The 18,534-nt window shown below is 39.0% G+C and overlaps 1 protein-coding gene across 13 annotated transcripts in view; it reads right to left on the bottom strand.

Annotated features, from left to right (window-relative positions):
• Window positions 1-18,534, bottom strand: part of EPC1 (enhancer of polycomb 1) — a 111,019-nt gene that overhangs the window by 4,586 nt on the left and 87,899 nt on the right. For 6 of the 13 annotated variants that reach the window (NR_168508.1, NR_168511.1, NM_001282391.3 and 3 more), the window contains 5 exons: window positions 14,762-14,938; window positions 14,590-14,679; window positions 14,358-14,506; window positions 12,362-12,714; window positions 827-945 (listed from right to left, as the gene is read on the bottom strand). Coding sequence is in view for 8 of the 13 variants with exons in the window: in NM_001282391.3 (NP_001269320.1) it covers window positions 827-945; window positions 12,362-12,714; window positions 14,358-14,506; window positions 14,590-14,679; window positions 14,762-14,938 (888 nt within the window). In the remaining 5 variants the exon portion in view is untranslated. Of the gene's footprint in view, window positions 1-677; window positions 779-826; window positions 946-1,585; window positions 1,703-11,784; window positions 12,715-14,357; window positions 14,507-14,589; window positions 14,680-14,761; window positions 14,939-18,534 lie in introns of those variants that run through there. The other 7 variants (NM_001382754.1, NM_025209.5, NR_168509.1 and 4 more) reach the window with 5 other exon arrangements.

An 18,534-nucleotide genomic window follows, 5' to 3' on the forward strand; every position in this document is an offset into this window, starting at 1 on the left:
AGTCATATATTTGATAAGTGAAAAGTAATCTAAGTTATAAATTTTGCTTCATATGTGACAATATATAATATGTATAAGTCAATTACCAAAATAAGCCTTCTATAATGTGGAAACAGCAAACCTCCAACACAAAATGTTGGACAAGAAATATGCTAGTAAACATTTCAGTGATTTGCAAATCCATATAATGAATAAATGAATATGTAAACTTCCTTCACCTAACTTATACACACACACATATGTATACACACACAATGAAAGGCACCTTTGGGATAAGATAACTATCCCTTTAGAAATGGAAGTAACAAAATATCACATAATTTAACCTAGAAATTGATAGGCCCCTCAACTTTTTAAAAATATATTTTTCCTGCAAGATGCAGGGACTCAAACCTCAGCCTTTATGCCCTACATGTGTTTAACTGGCAAACGTTTATCATGCTTTAGGTTTAAAAGTTATCTCTTTCAACAGTTGGAGAGGTTATTTTTGCATAATGTTAAAAGCCTTAATAATAATTAACATGCCCAAGAGAATGAACTGGGTGGGGTTATATATTCAAGAGGTACATTAATGGACTACAGGTCAGACGGGAAGACAGTATCTTCATCTCATTTAACTAAGTGCTTTAGTTTTACTTTTTAAAATAGGGAGCAGAGGCAACAGCTTCCATACTCACCTGTAGTGTTCTTTCTAAACCCTGTATATTCAGGCGAAAGCCACTTTTCTGCTGGTTAGATGCAAGGTTCTATGACAACAGTTGGTAATTAGAGATGAACTCTGGTGGGAAACAATGAGGGATAATCATAAGACAGACAAATCCCTCACCTGTGATGTGTTGGTGGAGGAATTACTATTTGCTTGCTGTTGCTGAATTTGTGCAAGCTGCTGTTTCTGCATGAGTGCCAGTTGCTGTTGATGTTGCTGGTATTGTTCGGCTGTAAATGCTGAACATAAAATAAAGAAACACTTTATAAAAATGCCCAGCTGTCATGTATGTCTTACAGTACTAAAACAAAAATTCTGCATTAAATCTGTGCAAAATTGAAGCATCTGACAAAGGATCATGATCCTGCTAAAGATCACTTCCAAATGAAAATTTCTGCGTTTCTGCTACCACATTTAACAAGAGTGGCATGAATTTAAAGAAAAAAAAAATTAAACTTCCTGAATTAAACACAGGAAAGAGAACTGCTCACTTCCCAAATTTCAACACCACTATTTTTTTTTTAAGCTGTGACACTTGTTCTACACAGTGTAGAAAGATAATATCAGCTTTTAAAATCCATAGATTTGGAATTCAGCTTTGCACTGAGCTTGAGAGAATATCTGATAATTACATTTGGTTTCTATTTAATCCATATCTTCCCAAGGCATTCAGATGATCCCTAATGGCTCTGTGTATATATACTAATAGTTCTACATATTTTCTAATTGTAGTCATTAAAAAAATTTGCTCTATATGAAAGATTACAGTTGTTGGTTGGTTTATTGCTTTTTTTTAAAGAACTCATCCTTTAAGTTTAACAGGAAGAAAAGAGGCTCTAATGTTAAGGTTAATTAATTTTCCCCACCCAATTAACCCACCTGGAAAAAATCCAGTCAATAAGAACGGAGTTGTTTATGTTGATTTACTGTACAGAATGATGTCTGAGGAAAGACACTGTGTTATGCTACTTATGTTTGTCTATGGAGAGCTCAGTTCTAAAAAAAACAAACAAAAAAATGTTCATTTATTACCCCCCCAAAAAAGTGTGTGCAGTTTTTAAAAAGGAAACCTTTTTCTCTTTTTTGCCAATTAAAAAAAAAAAAAGCACATACAATCACAATACCTCTGATTTTAAAGGCGTCTTTAAGAAGCCTGTGATGTTTGAGTAAGAATTATTTTAAAACAAAAAAAGATTTATCATGCATCCCTGGCTACCAGGGAATCTATAAATCATGCACATTTCCTCAATCTAAAGTTTAATGTTTTCAAAATACTGTCACCTAATTTGTTGTTTAACTTCAGTTTGATAATTTAGTTAGAATATCACTTCAAGTTTTATACTTTTCACTTATATAACTCATGAAGAATCTTTCTTTATCCTCCAGGATATACTTTCTGCCTGGTACAACTAGAAAATTAGGTTAGGTACAAATTCTGCCATGTTTTGAATGGATCAGAAAATTGTGAAATAATATTCAAGAAAACCTAATAAGTTATTAGTATCTACACAGGTTCTTATACTTGAGTTGAACTAAGTTCTTGGGCTATAAGGGCAAAAAATGTTGGAAATTGGTTTTCTTATTTTCTGTGTGTGTTAAAATCTGTTTAGTTGATATCTTCCCTTTGATGAGCTCCTTTTCCTACTATGTTCGTAATTCACAAATCTGCAATCTGTAGAAAAGATTTTTATTGATAATAGAATGCTCCCTAAATATTGACATAAAAATAACTGTCAACATGATCATTTCCATATAAACAGAAATGTGTTATACCAAAACTTGAAGAAAATCTAAAAAAGTCAATGCTGCCCTCAAATAATTTCATAGTTAATATTTCTCATGTTTAAAAAAAATCCACGAAAATTATTTAAATGTAAGAATCCTTGACTCACTAGATACTTTTGCCAATATATTTGTGAGATTTACAGTTTAATTTCCTAAGTTTGAGTGTTTTGCCTAAGCCTTGGCTTTTCTAGTAGGGAATGCTCAGTAAATTTAAAAGCAAACAAACCATTTTTGGAAGGTCAGGTCATCACATATATAGAAAAACAATAATTTAGCATTCACTGAATGTCTATGTATTAAAGTCCATATATATGAAAGAAAGTATTCTTTTGTAGAACTTTGCTGGCGTGTGTGTTTAATTAAACATTTATCAATAGCTAATTAGAAATCAATGTGAATAAAGTCCAAATATTTTTGCCTTATTTAACATCTTAATCCTGAGTCTTTGAAGATCTTGTGAATTTCACTTCTTAACAACTGTTAACTTCTTCCTAATACAGACTTGGAAATAAAAATGCAATCAAGGCCAGGCGCGGTGGCGCACGCCTGTAATCCCAACACTTTGGGAGGCCGAGGTGGGTGGATCACGAGGTCAGGAGTTCGAGACCAGCCTGGGCAAGATGGTGAAACCCCGTCTCTATTAAAAATGCAAAAGTTGGCTGGGCGCGGTGGCTCACGCCTGTAATCCCAGCACTCTGGGAGGCCGAGGTGGGCAGATCATTAGGTCAGGAGATTGAGACCATCCTGGCTAACACAGTGAAACCCCATCTCTACCAAAAAAAAAAAACAAAAAAAAAATTAGCCGGGCGTGGTGGCACGTGCCTGTAGTCCCAGCTAGTTGGGAGGCTGAGGCAGGAGAATGGTGTGAACCCGGGAGGCGAAGCTTGCAGTGAGCCGAGATCGCGTCACTGCACTCCAGCCTGGATGACAGAGCAAGACTCCTTCTAAAAAAAAAAAAAGGAAAAAGCAAAAATTAGCTGGGTGTGGTAGTCCCAGCTACTCAGGGGGCTGAGGCAGGAGAATCGCTTGAACCCGGGAGGTGGAGGTTGCAGTTAGCTGATATCACACCATTGCACTCTAACCTGGGTGACAGAGTGAGACTCCGTCTCATAAAAAAAAAAAAATGCAATCAACATTTTAGATTACTATGTTAGCCTATTTGTTAGATATTGCTGTCTTCTACAGAGTCTAGTTATGAAATTTTTCCTGGACACTTTTGGCAAATAGTCTAGGAGAAATGCACAGAGCAACCCTTAAGCTGTAAGTGGTGGTAATAATAACTATGGTCTAGGGGCCAAAAGACCTTGACATTCTTAGTCCTCAGCTCTATCATAATTAGCTGAGTATTCCTGAGAAAGTAAATCTTTTGGGACTCTGTCTTCATCTAAAATGAGAAAGACAGGCTGGGCGCAGTGGCATACGCCTGTAATCCCAGCACTTTGTGATGCCGAGGCAGGTTGATCACCGGAGGTCAGGAATTTGAGACCACCCTGACCAACATGGTGAAACCCCGTCTCTACCAAAAATACAAAAACTTAGCCAGGCGTGGTGGCACATGCCTGTAATCCCAGCTACTCGGGAGGCTGAGGCACGAGAATCGCTCGAATCCAGGAGGCAGAGGTTGCAGTGAGCCGAGACCGCACCACTGCACTCTGGCCTGGGCCACAGAGCAAGACTTCATCTTAAAAATAAATACATAAATAAATAAAATGAGAATGAGATTAAATTAGGTGATCATTAAGGTCCTCTTCAGCTATGAGATGCTAAGGTTTTATATTCTTCTGAGAAATAAAGTTCAATTCCTAAAGAAGGTCCCAGTGTGAATGAGTAGAAAAACCTGTACCAAGGTAGTAAATATGGGCAAAAGAAATCTGAACCTCAGGTCATGATACCATTATAACCTGAAAGTCTAACCAAATGCTAAATGGAAATAAGACAAAAATGACCATGCTCACCCTCTCTAAATGTCTATGAATGGATTGAGATATCAAGGTAGAACATTTTTAGGTTGTATGTCTACCTCCTGATATGGTATGAGAATCAAGTTTGTAATTCCCACAAAGGTGGACAAGATGGTTGTTGTTGACAGATGACCAAACCTACAGTCAGAATCCTTTCACAAAACCAAAAAATTTTGAGGTCAGGAAGGACTCTTAGAGATTGTAGGATTTCTTCCTACAACCTCATCTAGAGATGAAGAAACTTCTGAGGTCACACATATGTAACAGTGGAAGGAAAAGAGAACCCCAAAGCAATGAGATTTTAAATTGAAAAATAGACAAAAATTCTTGGATTTAATATTTACAAGAAATCTATCTTCTGAGGTACCAACAATATGAATCAAGTGCTTAAAAAGCCCACACACATAGAGCACCTGACAAACAAGGGTCTACGCAAGGAGAATCCTATGTGTGGGACAGGATTAAAAGCTCCAAATATTTAACCAGGAACGGGATTAGGAAAGGAAGCATGATAGGACTTCAACTGGGTGAAGGCCATTATGATGCTGAAGGGGGAGCAAACTCACTCGGTATGCTTCCATGAGCAAACCAGGGACCTGCAGGTTTTAATTTAAGAAGGCAGTTTTTGGTTCAATACATAGACAAACTTTCTAACCAAGATCCTCAAACAACTCAATCTAGAAAGTTGTTGAATTTAGCTTCACTAGAAATACTTAGGCAGAAGTAGAAACTACCTTTGTTTTGGTAGCTTCTAAGTAACCAATTTTCTTGGGCAGAAATTTTTTTTTTGAGACAGGGTCTCACTCTGTTGCCTAAGCTGGAGTGCAGTGGTGTGATCTGGGCTCACTGCAGCCTTGACCTCCTTGGGCTCAACTGATCCTCCCACCTCAGCCTCCCAAGTAGCTCTAGCTCGGACTACAGGCGAGCATCACTATGCCTGGCTAATTTTTGTATTTTTTTGTAGAGATGGGTGTTTCACCATGTTGCTCAGGCTGGTCTTGAACTCCTTAGGCTCAAGCAATCCACCTGCTTTGGCCTCCCAAAGTGCTGGGATTACAGACATGAGCCACTGCGCCCGGCCTAAGACTCTCTGAGTCCATTTGTACTAAAGGGAAGCCATGGTATGGTACACCAGCAGCTGGAACAGCCTATAGTTCAGACTGCTGCTCTGTGCACTGCACTCTTATAGCTAAAGGTGATCAACTGAGATGATCAAAGGAGTGCAGCTGAGGGGAAAGTGATGGGTGCTAAGGAAACATTCAGCCGTGAAAGATGGAGTTTAGATTACCAAAATGTACACTTTTTTTTTTTGAGAGGGAGTCTCGCTCTGTTGCCCAGGCCTCCCGGGTTCAAGCGATTCTCCTGCCTCAGCCTCTCAAGTAGCTGGGATTACAGGCGTGTGCCACCACACCAGGCTAATTTTTGTATTTTTAGTAGAGACGGAGTTTTCGCCATGTTTGCCAGGCTGGTCTTGAACTCCTGCCCTCAAGTGATCCACCTGCCTTGGCCTCCCAAAGTGCTGGGATTATAGGCGTGAACCACAGCACCTAGCCCCTCAAAATGTATACTTTGGTTTTTTTTTGTTTTTTTTTTTTTGTTTTTTTTTTTTTTGAGACGGAGTCTCGCTCTGTCGCCCAGGCTGGAGTGCAGTGGCAGGATCTCGGCTCACTGCAAGCTCCGCCTCCCGGGTTCACGCCATTCTCCTGCCTCAGCCTCCCAAGTAGCTGGGACTACAGGCGCCCGCCACTACGCCCGTCTAATTTTTTGTATTTTTAGTAGAGACGGGGTTTCACCGTTTTAGCCGGGATGGTCTCGATCTCCTGACCTCGTTACTTTGTTTTTAATAACAAAACCAAAAGTAACCCCAAATGCCTAAAGACCCTGAATTAGAAATTTCTTTTAGTACACAGGCCAAACATTATTTTAATATAAAACAAAAGGTAAAATGATTCTTCAGGTAGTTATTAAAGTATGATCTCCTAATTAGTGAGATTGAGTTGACAGGGTTCACGAGCCTTATCAGCCATCTAGCAATCTAATTTGAAAACCAAAGTTTGTTTTAATTCATTTGTTGGCAAACTATGACCAGACCTGACCTCATCTGGCCGTGAATGACTGAACATGAGATTATTTGCAGTCAAATATTCCTCTTAGTGTGAATATTCTTGCATTTTATTATATGACTATAGAACTATTAATGTATTTTACTACAGGTGCTACTCCAGACTCTGCTACAGATGTTATATAATAATCCACCTTCTATAGTAAAAAAAATTCTGAGGCTGGGCGCAGTGGCTCACGCCTGTAATCCCAGCGTTTTGGGAGGCTGAGGCAGGCGGATCACAAGGTCAGGAGTTCGAGACTGCCTGGCCAATATGGTGAAACCCCGTCTCTACTAAAAAATACAAAAATTAGCCAGGCGTGGTGGCACGCACCTGTAGTCCCAGCTACTCGGGAGGCTGAGGTGGGAGAATCGCTGAACCCGGTAGGCGGAGGTTGCAGTGAGCCAAGATCGTGCTACTGCACTCCAGCCTGGGCGACAGAGTGAGACTCTGTCTTAAAAAAAAAAAAAAAAGAAAAAAAACTTATGAATTTTGGAACACATTTGAATAAAGTCAAGGTCCTGCAAATTCACAAAATCTTACAAAATATTCAGTGCTCAAATCTAGAGTTCCTTTTCCACAGTAGGATTAAGATGTTATGTTGCAAACTAAATTGCACTAAGTTACGGATATTAAGACTTGGAACATATCATTCTAACCATATATCTCTTATTCGTTTATAAAAATAAACCAAATCTTTACTGCAGATATGAGAGCTTAGAAAAATAATTCAGAATGCTGGTGAAATTTTACTGGAAATTAGGAATTCACATATTGAACATAGAATTGTAGCTTAAAAATCACTTTGTTTCCAGTCTTTCTGAATTATATAAGGACTCTTACATAAGAGTCCTTATGCAAATGCATAGTCAGTCACTGAACACTCAACTTCCCAAGGTGCTTTTGTGAGTATTAAAAAAACAACTGTATTTGGAAACTGTCCAAAATCACCTATTAACTGAAGATTATTAAAAATATACAATTTATCCTTAAGTACTAAAACCTAGCCCCCAAAATTCCATATACACATACGGTCTTTCCCAGTTCCTTACCACTGTGTTATCCTGCTGCATGGTATCCAGAGGACCAAGCACTCAACACACCTAACTCACACAATACTCAGGTATTAGGAAGCCTGATACCAGACTGCTCAGGCTACACAAATATGCAAAATAGTCAAGAGTGGGAAGGAAAGTAAAAAAGATTCTGAGTAGTTGAAACAGACTATAAAATCAGCATATTAAAGCTCATGCACTTTACTAAAATGTACTTCTATTATCTTCATTTAGAATTTCCTATTTAACTTAGCCTCCCAGCACTTTGGGAGGCTAAGGTAGGCGGATCACTTGAGGTCAGGAGTTCAAGACCAGCTTGGCCAACATGGTGAAACCCCGTCTCTACTAATACAAAAATTAGCTGGGTGTGGTGGTGCGCACCTGTAATCCCAGCTACTTGGGAGGCTGAGGCATGAGAATCACTTGAAGCCAGCAGGCAGAGGTTGCAGTGAGTGAGATCACGCCATGGCACTCCAGCCTGGGAGACAGAGTGAAACTGTATCTCAAAAAAAAGGCCAGGCACGGTGGCTCACGCCTGTAATCCCAGCATATTGGGAGGCCGAAACGGGTGGATCACAGGGTCAGGAGTTCAAGACCAGCCTGGCCAAGATGGTGAAACCCCGTCTCTACTAAAAATACAAAAATTAGCCAGGCATGGTGGCGGGTGCCTGTAATCCTAGCTATTCAGGAGACTGAGGCAGAGAACTGCTTGAACCGGGGAGGTGGAGGTTGCAGTGAGCTGAGATCATGCCACTGCACTCCAGCCTGGGAGACAGAGCAAGACTCTGTCTCAAAAACATGACAAACATAAAAACAATGAATAATCAGAAATGGCTATACTATAACTCGCATATTTGGCTTAAGTAGCAGGAAAGCTTATCAGCTGACTTGTATTTTACAAAATAGTTAACTTCCAAACTCATAAACAACTTGGGCATCTCTAATATGAACGTCTGAAATCTGAAATGCTCCAAGAACCAAAACTTTTTCTGCATTGACCTGATACTACAAGTGGAAAATTCTACACCTGGCCTCATGTGATGGGGCCATAGTCAAAATGCAGTCAATACTTTGTTTCATGCATAATTTTTATTATTTATTTATTTTGAGATGGAGTCTTGCCCTGTCACCCAGGCTGGAGTGCAGTGGCGTGATGTTGGCTCACTGCAACGTCTGCCTCCTGGGTTCAAGTGGTTTTCCTGCCTCAGCCTCCCGAGTAGCAGGAATTACAGGCACCCACCACCACGTCTGGCTAATTTTTGTATTTTTAATAGAAACGTGTTTTGCCATGTTGGCCAGGCTGGTCTTGAACTCCTGATCTGAGGTGATCTCAGGCAATCTGCCTGCCTCGGCCTCCCAAAGTGCTGGGATTACAGGCATGACCCACTGTGCCTGGCCTGACTCTTCTGTTTTAATTAGCCCAACACTGCCAGTTTTTCTGCTGGCATCAGACTACATCAGAGTTTCTTTGGTTAAGTGCCAGAGGAAGTAGTCTGGTTTGTATGTGGGGGCCATGCTGTATGAAAATTAAAAATTATCTTTAAAATCACAATTACTACTGAATGAGGTAAGATGCTTAACCTATGAATAAAGTGGCAATGCGGGCACTCACGCCGTAAGAGGACCAACACATTCAACTTCCCCTACTCCAGGCTCACTCTGGAGAATATATTCTTTCAGTAAATTGTATTTAGAATTCTGTATAACATTTGAGCTGCTACATTTTCTCTTTTTTTTTTTTGAGATGGAGTCTCACTCTGTCGCCCAGGCTGGAATGCAATGGCACAATCTCGGCTCACTGCAACCTCTGACTCCCAGGTTCAAGCCATTCTCCCTGCCTCAGCTTCCTGAGTAGCTGGGATTACAGGCGCCTGCCATCATGCCCAGCTAATTTTTGTATTTTTTAGTAGAGACCAGGTTTCGCCATATTAGCCAGGCTAGTGTGGAACTCCTGACCTCAGGTGATCTGCCCGCCTCGGCCTCCCAAAGTACTGGGATTACAGGCATGAGCCACCACACTTGGCCTAAATTTTGTTTTTTTTTTCTTCAGGGGCCTGGAGTTGGATTAAGTGAAATGCACTTATGATATGGCTGCATTGTAATATACTTTATAAAGTATGCAGAGAAAAGCTTTAGGTCTCTGGAATATTCACAAATATAAATGAACAGTGTTACCCTACAGTAGTCTGTAGGTATCTATCCTCTAAGTATTAGAAGATCTAGCAAAATTTAAGGAGAAATTGAAAATAATTAAGACAACAGGAAAAAAAATAGATAAACTCATTTTTAAAAAGTAGTATTGAGGCTGGGTGCAGTGGCTCACCCCTGTAACCCTAGCACTTTGGGAGGCCAAGGCAGGAGGATCACTTGAGGCCAGGAGTTCAAGACTAGCCTGGGCAACATAGACCCTATCTCTTACAAAAAATTAGCCAGTCATGGTGGCATACGCCTGCAGTCCTAGCTACCCAGGAGGCTGAGGTTGGGGGATCACTGAGCCTGGGAAGTTGAGGCTGCAGTGAGCCATGACTGTGCCACTATACTCCAGTCTGGGTGACAGAGAAAGATCCTGTCTTAAATAAATAAATAAATAGTTGTATCGCATATATGGAGGAAAGAAATGATAAAGAAGAAAAATTACAAGGTTACTAATGATTTCTTTTCAGCTAAGCTTTTGGTAATGCTCATCTTTTAATGTTCTTTGGGCAAACACAAATCAAACAATTTTTACAACTGTTATTAATATGCCTAAAGCAGTATAGCAAAACATTTTTCATAAAAAAAGAGCATTATAAAATCCTTAAATATTTAGGATAGTTATACACTTCAACTTCTCTATTTAAGGGGTGGAGAAGATGGAGATTGATGGAACATGCCTATTTTCTGAGAAGTCTTAAAGAATTTTTACAGCTTAGAAAGCTTAATTATCAGGGTAACCTATGACAGGTTTATACTGTTAAAACCTCTATACTAACACTATAAGTAAGTCTTTATTGAAAAGTTCTTTATTTTGATTCTTAAGACTATAAAAGTAGAGAGAAACTGGCTTTTGGTGATAAAGACAGTAACATTAATGGGATTATAAATAAGCTGTTAGTCCCTAAAATAGCTTTATCTTCCAGCTGATTTCTGAATTGTGATTATTTTTCTCATGAGCTGAAAGACTTCCATTTCATAGAAGTACAGCTGACCCTTGAATAACATGGGTTTGAACTGCCTGGGTCTACTTATTTGTAAATTATCTTCTGCCTCTGTCACCTCTCAGATGACAAGACCAACCCCTCCTCCCCCTCAATGTGAAGATGACAAGGATAAAGACCTTTATGATGATCCACTTACACTTAATGATTAGTAAATGTATTTTCTCTCCTTTATGAATTTCTTTTTTTTTTGAAACAGGGTTTTGCTTTGCTGTGAAGCCTGGAATGCAGTGGCATGATCTTGGCTCACTGCAGCCTTGACCTTCTGGGCTCCTACCACCTCAGTCTCCTGAGTAGCTGAGACTACAGGCGCTCACCACCACACCCAGTGAATTTCTGCATTTTTTGTAGAGATGAGGTTTCACCATGTTGCCCAGGCTGGTCCTGAACTCCTGGGCTCAAGCAATCTGCCCACTTTAGCCTCCCAAAGTGCTGGGATTACAGGCATGAGCCACCATGCCTGGCTCTATAAATTTCTTAATAACATGTTCTTTTTCCTAGCTTATTTTAAGAATGAAGTACAGAATACATATAACATACAAAACATGTATGTTTGGACTGTTTATGTTAATGGACTAATGGACTGTTTATGTTATTGGTAATTCTGGTCAGGAGCAGACTATTAGTCAAGTTTTTGGGGAGTCAAAAGTTATACATGAATTTTGGACTGCAATTGGGGGGTGCCCCTAACCCTCATGTTGTTCAGGGGTCAACTGTACTTTTTTTTAACCACCAAGTAAATTAGTTTACGGAACATTTTCTGGAGGTCTTTAAGAATCAGAGCAAATGTTCATATTTATGAAGCAACTTAACTATAACCCTACAGGGTGAATTAGGGGAATGATAAATATCTTCATAGTCCTCAGATTACCTTTACAAAAATCAGTAGTAACATAATTCAATGGTGAATTTCTACAATATATAGGCTTCAAATAACACAAACTTATGCTTTAAAACAGACAGCTAAGATTATAGGAATATTTTAAATAAACAGCATTTATTTTAGACACATTTCAAATAGAAGCCACAATAATCAAATAGATATTATCTGAAAACGTTTCAAAAATATTAACCCTTTAAATGTTCTTCTCTGAAAAATTAGTTTATCTTTAACAAATTATTCTGAATTATTGTGTCAACATATAAGGTTATGCATATATATTCACTTGCTGGTCTCTATGTTAAAGCAAACTAGGTAAAAACTAGAGAAATATCTGAACATAAAATGGTTAACAATTTACGGCCCATTTTCTTCTCATATTATTGAAAAATATGATAAATCTTGTGGTTCACGGACTATATCCAGGAAACAAATGTCACATATTAAATAGAAATAAACCATCTTTGTATGCAGGTATGTTTAAATGAAGACACACACATACAAACTCCTATAGCAACAGGATTCAAATAAATACTTAGACCAAGATTTTTTTTTTAACTGTTTAAGAGAAAAGGACTTTAAGCCATAAATGTAACAGACCACATAGTCGAACAAATGGGAAATGGTTGGACCTGACATTTCTATAGAAACGTACATCATTAACAGTCAACATACCAAAGTGTGCTGAACCACTGCTACTTTTACTTTGCGTAGAGGTACTGCATGTCTGGGTCCCAGGTTGTGCTGTTCCTGTTCGGTTTATACTCCTATATAATTTTCTACAGGAGAGTTCATCATTGTCACTGTCATGTAGGGATGGTGTCCGAGGCCTAAAATGCCGCCATCTACATGATTTGATATTGACTAGTATCTGACTGAGGTCTTTAGAGAAAGATTTGTCCGAGGTATTTGTTTCTGAGGTATTGGCAAACTGATTGACTGGAGAATGTTGTGGTGAGGAAAGCATTTCCAAATCCAGATGGTGAAACACACTGTCATAGTCTGAATGAGCTCTGTCCAGTAAGACCCTATTAAAAAATCAGACAAGAAACAGTTATTTAAAATAGCTATTCAAAGATTATATATTAAAGCTTTTTCTTTTTACCCCCAACTGCCAAAAGGCCAACTCATACTGAATATTTAAAAGCTTTAAAGTTGATTATTTTAGTGTTTGGTTTTTATAGGCTACAACCTCAATTTCTAATAAAAGTTCTTTTAACAAATTGTTTTTCAACTAAAGATTTTCACTTCCATTACAAAGCACCAAAATGAATGCTTTATAAAATGTTGCGAACACATTTATTCTATATTTAAGCAAAAACTTCATTCCTTTTGGGGGGAAAGGGAGAAGAGAGAAGAAAAGCAACAAAAAACATAGTATACCATTAACATTTCTTATAGACAAAATATTTGAGATCCACTACTCTAGAGGATATATTCTTATGTTATTGATTGATTGACTGATTGATTGAGAGAGATGGAGTTTTACTCTGTCACCCAGACTGGAGTGCAATGGTGCGATCTTGGCTCACTGCAACCTCCGCCCCAGGGTTCAAGTGATTCTCCTGCCTCAGCCTCCCGAGTAGCTGAGATTACAGGCGCCTGCCACCATGCCCAGCTAATTTTTGTGTTTTTAGTGGAGACAGTGTTTCCCCATGTTGGCCAGGCTGGTCTCAAACTCTTGACCTCAAGTGATCCACCCACCTTGGCCTCCCAAAGTGCTGGGATTACAGGTGTGAGCCACCATGCCTGGCCTCTTATGTTATTTATATAAACATTATAAATGGCTCCAAGTCAAAATAATAACATTGATTAATGTTAGTAATAGAATAAAATATAGCTAACGTAGAGAATTTTCACTGCTCCTGATGTCAGCAGTGATGGAAAAAAACGGACTAAATAAAATGTATTTTAGTGCCTAGATAATTCTTAACCAATGTTTAAATAATAAAAAAAAACCCTCTGCAATTAAGAGTTGAAGATGAAAAAAATATATGTATAAGCCATTAGTTTATCATAAATATACGCTTGGGTTTCTTCCTGAAAAAGCACCTTGATACTATTATTTGCTTTCCCTTTTAATTTTCCCCGCACATTATACATTAACGTCTCTCCATTCCTTGAGTTTATGTGTTTTGCTATTTGTTTCCTGTCCCCATACAAGCAACTCGCATAAAGGCATTTAGAGTATGAAGGAAGGAATTCTACAAGGTTTAAACAAAGGAAGAACAATTAGATCCTAACAAACTGGGATGTCAAGATCAGGTTATGCATGGATCCTTTTCACTGTCAGGTTAAACCCATTATACTAGCTAGTGTGAAACAACTTTTTTGCAGTTTCTTTAACTTAATACACTGTGTGCAATCAGGATTTACACTTGTCTTCATCTGTTGCCCTTTCTCACAATTCTACCCCTTGATAATTTATCTGAGGTTTTCCACCTTGGGGAGAAAAGCAGGTCCACTAGGGACCCAATAGAGTTATGTCAAAAACTATGGATGTGTAAGAACCAGGCAGCACAGCAACAAAAATATTTTAGTCAACAGATCAGTTAAGAATAGCAAATAGGAACTAATGAGTTGTTCAGAGGGATTACCTGACTTTAAAAGTTAGATTCAATCACCCTAATGCCTAAAATATCCTTCTGCTAGGAATACAGAAATACCTTACCTTCCACCGCGCCCAACCCGTCTTCGTGCAAATCCAATACACCTTTGGGGTACGGTGAGAGTAGTTAAGCAGTATCTATATCGCACATCCCCTAATCCTCCATCTTTAGGACTAGTCCAAGGCCAGTTGCCAGTTTGGTCTAAGTGAGGCTTAAAAAAAAAAATCCAAATTATTTAATTTTGTCAGTTAAAGGTAAATAGTTTGTTATTTACAAAGACACTCTGAAACTTACAGCATAGTACTGACAGCCTGCTTTCCTACGGAAAGCAAAAGGACCATCAGGATCATTGTCTTCCTCAGCTTCCGAAGAGCCAGACAAAACCTTTAAATGAAATAAAGAAAGTAGGTCAGATACGTGACTTCCTACATCCCTCCTCAATGTTCATAGAGAATTGTATTTGTACCTGGGAGAGAGGTTCTTCGTCTGAGCTGGGAAAGTCATACTGATTCAGATCTTTAGCATTGAAGACTGGCAGTGCAGCAGGACTCGTCTGTTGGGGAGTAGCAGCGGCAGACGATGGTAAGACTTTGGGCTTCTTTTCATATTTCCGTTTCGGTCGGATAAGATCGGCTTTATCTTGCTGCAACAAAGACATGAATTAATTATACACCAGAAACCATGTTCAACAAATTTGCAGTTTTGGGGGAAATTTTAAAAAGAAGTTTATTGCTATAATGAGGGCATTCATATTCATAAGAGACACAACACTCTATGTTTGGCCATCTTATAGTGTAAAGTCTAGAGAAGTTGGCCTCCATGAAAGCATAAATTTGTCCTACAATCTAAACATAATCACACAAATGATTCTGTTTCAATTAAAAGGAGAGAACAGAAGTTCTCCAACTTCTGAAGTCTTACAACTGCAATTAGTGTATTTACTGCTGGCTCCTCCCATTTTCTTAATTTTCTATGAAAATTCTAGAAGAGAATTTTTTTTTAAAGGGGATTGTCTAATCCTTATTCTCAACAAATAATAAATATAGGACAAATAATAATGAAAATGTCTTCGTATACACAGAAAGCAAACTACAGAAAACTGTTAACATAGTAGAAAACAAAGCCATAATGCTGAGTGAGGGGTTATACAAATAAAGAGTAGTAAGGATTTGTGGGCTGAACAATGTAAGCTTTCTGAAATGGTGACTTTTGAACAGTTTTAAAGGATAAAGATATGAAATCATTAAATAGGGGAAATGCAGGATAAAATATACAGGCAACAGTAACTGAGCTGATGGAACACAGCATGTTCGAAACATGTATTGCAGATGATGGCAAAGGTTGGGAGAAGTATGAATTTGATACGTAGGCAATAGGTAAGGTAAAGTAGTGGCAAAAATTGTATTTGTTGGAAAGAAAAAGATCACGGCAAATACCACGGTTATGTAAATACGCTAAATATTCATGTTACATTTTATGTAGTTTATGACATTATGGTTTTTTGGGAAAACTACGGTTTTCCCAAACCATAAGGCATCTCTCCACAATTTCTACTGTTGTATTTGACAGGATAATCAAATCAAAAGTTGGCCATGGCAATGCAAAACATTATTTAAAAGCTAACATCAGCTGTCAGCTAGGGCAGTGCTTGAGGACTACATTATTATCTATTACTTTTTTCTTTTTTTTTTTTTTTTTTTTGAGATGGAGTCTTGCTCTGTCACTTAGGCTGGAGTACAGTGGTGCGGTATCAGCACACTGCAATCTCCGCCTCCCAGGTTCAAGTGATTCTCCTGCCTCAGCCTCCCAAGTACCTACTAATTCAAAGCCTTATGCTATGCTTAGGTGCTATTACTACCCATTTACAGCAATTTGCGCTCGCTAATTTTTTGTATTTTTAGTAGAGATGGGGTTTCGCCATGTTGGCCAGGCTGGTTTCAAACTCTTGACCTCAAGTGACCTGCCTGCCTCTACCTCCCAAAGTGTTGGGATTATAGGCATGAGCTGCTGCACCCGGCCTAAAGTAACTTTCAAGTATGAGTGGCACATATAGAGGAAAGCAAATAATAGGATAATTAATCTTAAAATATGATAACTGAAGGATAACACTAAAGTAGTCCACAAAATCATGTAGGGCTCAGAGGGGGGGACCACATTAAAATAGTTAAGAGTGGGAGGTCGGGTGGGGTGGCTCATGCCTGTAATCCCAGCACTTTGGGAGGCCAAGGCGGGAGGATCATGAGGTCAGGAGATTGAGACCATCCTGGCTAACACGATGAAACCCTGTCTCTACTAAAAATACAAAAAATTAGCCAGGCGTGGTGGCATGCGCCTGTAGTCCCAGCTATTTGGGAGGCTGAGGCAGGAGAATCGCTTGAACCCAGGAGGCGGAGGTTGCAGTGAGCCAAGATTGCGCCACTGCACTCCAGCCTGGGTGACAGAGCAAGACTCTGCCTTAAAAAAAAAAGTAACAGTGGGAACAATCCCATTAAACTTTAAAGATACATTTAGAACTAATATATTACAAATGCAGGACATAAAATTTAAATAAATGCAAAATTTAAATAAAAACTTACATGAGTAAACTAAAACAGTATTTTGGGGCACAGCTCTAACTTTCCAGATCATTGAAGAGAATAACGAGAATAACTCTACTCTCCCTCCCACCCTCCCCTACGTTTTTTAAAAATCAAAATGTCCATGTTAACAAAGTGGGAAAAAAAAAAGTCCATGTTTTTTCACAAAATGGTCTGGTCCCTGGCACTGCTTTAAATAACTCCCCGCCTCCCCCTGCAAAAAAAGTCCAGGCTGGGGAAATCATCATTCATTCTAACTGTGTGGCAGGTTGTACATTCAGGCTTGAAGGTCTGTTTACCACAATAAAAAAAAAACCTGAGTGAGCATGATATTAAATGATGCAGGGGAGATAAAACTGATGGCAAATTTTCCCATTCCTCAAATTAAACTGGTATGGTAGATGCAAAGTTTCATGAAATTTTTTTTTTTTTTTTAGACGGAGTCTCGCACTGTAGCCCAAGCTGGAGTGCAGTGGCGCGATCTCGGCTCACTGCAAGCTCTGCCTCCCAGGTTCACGCCATTCTCCTGCCTCAGCCTCTGAAGCAGCTGGGACTACAGGCGCCCACCAGCACGCCCGGCTATTTTTTTTGTATTTTTAGTAGAAACAGGGTTTCACCGTGTTAGCCAGGATGGTCTCGATCTCCTGACCTTGTGATCCGCCTGCCTCGGCTTCCCAGAGAGCTAGGATTACAGGCATGAACCACCGTGCCCGGCCATGAAAAATTTCATACAAAAAATGCATAACGTACTTTTTCCTCAGATGTACACTTTCCAAGAAAGTGCCACTTAATTAATGGCTCTCCTTTATTTACCTCAGTTTTCCTTCACTAATTTTATTTCCTCTCACAAATTTTATTCTTCACAAATTGTGACTTAGTTAAGTACTAATTTGTCAAATATTTCCATTTCTAAATCATTATATTACTATTAAGATATCAAAATTCCCTCTTATACACTATTGTGTCCACAAAAGACAGAAAAACTCATTTGAGGCTGGGTGCAGTGGCTCACGCCTATAATCCCAGCACTTTGGGAGGCCTAGACGGGCGGATCACCTGAGGTCAGGGGTTTTGAGACCAGCCTGGCCAACATGGCAAAACCCCACCTCTACTAAAAATACAAAAATTAGCCCAGCATGGTGGCGCGTGCTACCTGTAGTCCCAGCTACTCGGGGAGGCGAGGCAGGAGAATCGCTTAAACTCGGGAGGTGGAGGTTGCAGTGTGCTGAGATCCGGCCACTGCACTCCAGCCCGGGTGACAGAGCAAGACTCTGTCAAAAAAAAAAAAAAAAAAAAAAAAAGAAAGAAAGAAAAACTCATCTGATCAGGGAGGATTTCATGTCTTTCTCCCTAACTCTCCATATTTTGTATGAATTATTTCAATACTTCATAATCCTACAACTTGTAAAAGGAATATTTTTCCTTTTATCAGATATAGTAACAAAAGCTTCCCTTTATAAGGAAGAGAAACAAAAATAAAATTTTAATTATAGACTTCTGCTTTTCTTCATATTGTGGCACAATCATTGCAGTATACATTAAGGTGGGGTATATATGTATTTTTCTTTTTTTATCTTTTTTTTTTTAGATGGAGTCTTGCTGTGTCACCCAGGCTGGAGTGCAATGGTGTGATCTTGGCTCACTGCAACCTCCACCTCCTGGA

Source organism: Homo sapiens, chromosome 10, assembly GCF_000001405.40.
Source record: "Homo sapiens chromosome 10, GRCh38.p14 Primary Assembly".
Taxonomy (NCBI): domain Eukaryota; kingdom Metazoa; phylum Chordata; class Mammalia; order Primates; family Hominidae; genus Homo; species Homo sapiens.